A 6,000-nucleotide genomic window follows, 5' to 3' on the forward strand; every position below is an offset into this window, starting at 1 on the left:
AGTAGCTTCGCATGATATGGAAAGGAGGGAATTAGATGTCATTAAAGAAAATAAAAAAGCAGTTTGGCATGAGCTGGTGATCACCAAAGTTGGGCAATGGGACTTGGTGATTTGCTGTAACAGTCTGTCTTCTTACAACCATGTGCTCATGCTTGTTTCTTTTTAACTGAATGTTTCAATTCAATACATTACACTCCTTCTGCTTTTAGTGTTCAAATTATGCTAAATTTATTATTTATTCTTTGAAGTGTGCTTTGAAATCAGACTTTATAACTCCACAAAAATATTTTTGGGTTCTTATTTGTATCAGATGTACCTGATGTTGTGTTATTCTATCAAGGAAAAAAGACACTTCAAATCTACTTTCATGGTTTTCAGGACTGTCCTAGAATTCTCCTAGGCTTTTAAAGTTTTTCCTAAAAACATACATAAAGTTTTTCCTTAATATAGGTTTTTAAAGTTTTTCCTAAATTTCTATTCTTCTTTTTCCTTTATTTATTCATTGCTATTATGGGTGGAGTTCTTTCTATCGTTATTATTTTTCTCTCTTGCAGCTTTGTATATAAAAAAATTTAATTTTATATTACGTTAAGCTTTTTAATTATATTTTATTCATGGTATCACTGATTCTTCTGATTTTCCAGCTATAGGATCTGCAGAGAGGAGTAGACTTACTCCTTTCTAATTGTTTGCTGTCGTCCAATTGATGTGGTTGTATCTCTAGGCCAAAATAAAATAGTGATGAAGTTGCGTGTGTTCTTGCCATGTCCCTGGTGTCCCTTGGAAGAATGTGTCTTTCCATTTCATAAGATGATGTCTTTAGGGATATTCCTCTCCTATATTTTAAAAGTCCAGTATTCATGGTATATCATTTGTAGAATCTAAGGAAAGAGAGAGGGCAGAAAATGGAGCACTCATTTTCTACTTTGTCTTCTTTGTACATGATATTTGATCTGTTCTCTTATTAGTGGATGCTCAAGAAAGATTTTTGTCCTCACATTTTAATTTACTGCATAGACAAATTATTTAAACAAGAGAATCTTAAAGCAAAAACAAATAATGTGTTCTCCCACCCAACTAACTTAATCACCTTAAAAGGATTTTGTTGAAGTCTTACATGTATAAAATGTAATATAACAAGTGTACAGCTCAATGAATTTTTATACTATGAACTCACCCATGTAAACAACATCCAGTAAGATCTCTACTGACTTCCCAGAGGACATTTTTGGAGTGCCCTTCACTTTCTGACAGTTTTCACCATCTCAGAAAGATAGTCACAGCTCCAACAGATACAGTATAGATTCTGTTGTACATCATATGAATGTTTCCACATTATATAAATGCTTTTTTGTACATTATGTAAATGGAATCATAGTTTATTTTTGGATGGCCTAGCTTCATTTGCTCAACAATATGTTTATGATGTTCACCCATATTTTTGGATATAGTTGTAGATTTTTAAGTTTCATTGTTGTGTAGTATTCCATTGTGTGGCTATGGCATAACTGACTTATTCATTCTCTTTGCCAGGTTTTTTATTTTTAATTTTTCTAGGCTTTTTTTTTTTTTTTTCCCTTGAGACGGAGTCTTGCTTTATCACCCAGGCTGGGGTGCAGTGGCACAATCTCGGCTCACTACAACCTCCGCCTCCCGGGTTCAAGCGATTCTCCTGCCTCAGCCTCCTGAGTACCTGGGACTACAGACGTGTGCCACCATGCTCGGCTAATTTTTATATTTTTAAGAGATGGAGTTTCACCATATTGGCCAGGCTGGTCTCCAACTCCTGAGCTCAGGTGATCCACCTACCTCGGTCCCAAAGTGCTGGGATTACAGGCTGAGCCACCTTACCTGGCCAATTTTTCCAGGCTTTGTTTGCTTGTTTTGCTTACTGTTTCACTAATTTTTTTCGTCTTCATTTTAATTGCTAGTAAAGAAGATTCTGTGATGTGATTTGTCTTCATATTCATGTCCTTATCAGACATTCTGCCCAGGGTTTTTGAGGTGAATTTGCGTATAGTGAACTCCAGGAAAATAGTGCAAGGAATTCTTTCAAATTGTTATTAGTGAGAACAGAAAAATGGGGTTGTTGAGTAGGGTAGTATTTCCTAACAGATATCATCACAGACTTGATTATAAAAGAACCACATAAAGTCTAAAGAGCCAGTGACCATAATACGAACAGGTATTTGCTAAGTTCCCACGGGAGAGGAGGAAGAGTGCTTGTACCTGAATGTTTGTGAGGGAGGCCCTGTCAGGTCAGAAGGGCTGCTGCTGCTTTGACCTTGTGTATGTGTGTGGGATGGTAAGAAATGAATTAACAATCCTGCGCCACTCTTTCTGACTACGTAATTGGCATTAAACTCAATTACTTTGGATACTGGGTAGAAAATTATTTTGAATGTGTATGTGTCCTGGTTTCTAATCAGATGTATCCCAAAACATAATAAGGTGGATTTAGAATCCTATGTTTTATCATTAGTTCTGACACCCAGTAGCTGTGTAAATTTCAGCAAGTTATTTATCTTTGCAATAAAACATAAAACATCCTCAGGGCATTGAATTAATCTTTTATTGCTTAACTGAAAGGTAAATGCTTATAAATATCTAATGAAATAGCTCATAATATTTGCTGTATGGTTGTTGATGCTTCTGGACAAAAATGTCAAAATTAGTTGATGCTGAGAAAATTCATGGAGGTTTAAATGAGCAAAGACATCACCATTTATTGCAAATATAATGGGAATTTCAAATATAATGAAATGGGAATTTATTTCAAATATAATGGGAATATTGAGAACCTTAGTTTTGTGAAAAAATATGAAGTACCTAAGTTTGTGAGATAACACATAGAAATTTATTAAGAGAAACAGTTAAAAATATTATAACAAAACTATTCAGTTTCTACTATTATGCTTTAACATATATTTGAAAATTTGAAAAAATATTTATTGCATATATATGTATATGTTACAATAAAAAGCCTAAAATTTATAATAATATTTTCAATTAGAGTTCCAAACTTTTATCCAGAATATTGATTAAAGATACTGAGCTCATATTTTTCTTCAATATTATAAAATACATAAAATTAACAAACGTAAAAAATACAGGAATTTTTTCCTGTAACATAAAAAACACAACTTATTCAAGTGAATTTCAGAGGATTAATGAAACCATTCCAAGCAAAATTTTAATAATCTAATTACAAGTATTTTTCAGTATACTTTTAATATTACTGAATGAAAATAGTAAAAGAAATATAAAAGTAAATAGTAAAATAAATGAGTGGAAATGGTAAATAGTAAAACCTCCAGATTGGTTTGCCTAAGATTACGGTCGTTAATGTTACTGTTCTATATAGTGGGTAACATTTGTGTGAATTCTGTGGGTTTTGTGTGTGTGTGTGTGTGTGTGTGTGTAAGAGGAACTACTAGTTGAAAGGTTAATTGCAAAACAGTTCAGTATCTTTTGCTATGGCTGTGGTATTGACATACTTAAATATATTAATAACCCACTGTCAACTATTTCATTAAAAAGTATTTTTTTAAATTAACAAGTCGTTATGTGGGCTGTACTGCAGGACCTCCCCACCAAATAAAAATGTCATTTTGTGCTAAATAAAAATCAGCAGTAAAAAACAAAAAACATAATAAACTTAAAAAAATGAAAAGACTCTTTAGAAGTCTACAATTATATTAATTGGCCTAAACTTGATATTCTTTTTTAATGTATCAGGTTTTTTTTTTAAAAAGGCATAAAGTGAGTATGAAGGTAGGGAGAGAATAAAAGAGAAATAAAAATGCACTAGCATTGTATCAAAATATGGAGATTGTAGCTTTTAAAATAATTAATATCTCAAATTGTTGTTTTCTTTGGAAATATCACCAAAGGCTATGAGAAAACAGAAGCCTCACAGGTGGACTTCAATATGGAAACTCAATATTTGAACTCCGGCATTTGCAAAAGTCATCCACAGTGGGCTCAGAGGGGAGCTGAGTCTTCACATCTGACCCAGGAGAGGAGGCTAGGCCTCATTGGAGAAAAGTGGCTTGAAAATAGTGCTTCCAGTAACTTGGGGTTTCCAAGGTGACGCCTTGGGAGCATTTCACATCATTTCAGTGGTTTGAACAAAAGGCAACCAGGGGGTGGTTCTGGACACTATTCTGCTGAAAGAAAACCAATGCATTCTCTGTTTTGCATACTGGGATAGTAGGTACAATTCTATTTTTTTTTAAATCTATTGCCGAAGAACAAAAATAAGAAAAAAGAAAATCACTATTGTGGCTATTTTCGCACAAAATATTTCAGTGGTCAAAACCTTTCAGAATGCTAACTTCAGTAGAAATACTTTGAAAACCAAAGTAAAAGTGTATCACACACCTCTAAAGTAACCTCTACAAATATGTGTCCTATTTCTGGTGCCCTTTATGAAAGATGCAGTGGAACTTGAGAGGCATGCCATTGAGGTGATAAAGGAGGAAAGAAGTGGCCACATAAAAAAGGTTTCCCAGATTAAACACATGCTGTCCAAGGCATTTTCTGAGTTGGGGGATGATGCTGAATGCGATCCCTAAATTGGAACATCTTGGTTCAAACTTCGGTTCTATGTTCTATTATATATAAAATTCCATTATATATAACTTGCAATATATATAAATCCCTAGGGAGATATATATATATATTTGATTAATTAACTTAATCTCCAATTAATCCCTTCTGTAAAAACAGGGATAATAATAATGCTTGATTTCTGCTCTATACATTTCAGAACACTATTGAGTCTGTAAAAATTGCACACTAAAAAGAACAGATTCCTAAGTTGATTTAAAGGTAAAACATGAAACTTTGTAACCAGAGCAGTAACATAAACAAGCAGGCAGCTTGCTTCACCCAGAGGCTGCTTCTAGAGATATTAGAATTGCTCAATAAAAACTAGAATGTAACTGCTGTTAGAAGATACTCAGACCATTGAGATGGAAGTGGAGTTCTGAGGATGGGACTCAGAGATGAGGAAATGCAACCTGCCTGAACCCACAGGCTGGAGGTGTGCCTCTGTAGAAAAGGAACCCTGTATGCAGGTAACTATTTTTCTTTTTAACAGCTTCATAGGGGTATAATTCACATGCAATAAAATGCATATCTCTAAAGTGTAGAGTTTGATAAGTTTTGATATATGGAACACCTGTAAAATCACCACACTCAAGGAAATGAACACACTCATCGTTCCAAAAGATTTCTTATGCTCTTTTGTAATTCTGCCTCACTTATACCCTCCTCCCCAGGCACATACTCATATACTTTCTTTTACTGTATATTTGCATTTTATACTTATAAGTAAAAATAATCATGTAAAATATACTCTTTTCCACCTAGCTTCTTTCACTCAGCATAGTTATGTTCATGGGTCTCCATATTTCCATTTTTGTTGCCAAGTAGTACTGCACGGTGTTAATGTATGATAATTTATCAGTTTAGCTGGTGATGAATATTTTGGGCTGTTTTAGGGGTTTTGGGATATTACAAATAAAGTTGCTATGAATGTTTATCTAAAATTCTCTGTATAGACCATATTCTTTTTTAATATTAGATAAATACTTAAGGATGGAATTAATCACACAATAGTTGTATATGTAATGTTTTGACACTGTCAAATGGTTTTCCAAAATGGTTGGGCTTTTATATTCCCATGAGCACTGTATGACAGTTTCAGTTCCTCTACAACCTCCCCAATACTGGGGATATTCATTCTACTCAATTTTTGCAAGTTCATAGGTGGGTAGTGGTATCTCTTTATGGTTTTATTTCATGTTTGACTAGTGATCAGTAATGTTGAGCATCATTTCATGTTCTTATTTGCCACCCGTATGCCCTCTTTCGTGAATGATCTGTTCATATTATTGCCCATCTTTTTCCTCTAATGCAGGGATGTAAACGCTATAAATTCTCCACTAAGTGCTGCTTTTGTCCACATACCCATAATTTTGGTAAATTGTATTT

The sequence above is a fragment of the Homo sapiens genome, chromosome 7 (assembly GCF_000001405.40).
Source record: "Homo sapiens chromosome 7, GRCh38.p14 Primary Assembly".
In the NCBI taxonomy this organism is placed as follows: Eukaryota; Metazoa; Chordata; class Mammalia; order Primates; family Hominidae; genus Homo; species Homo sapiens.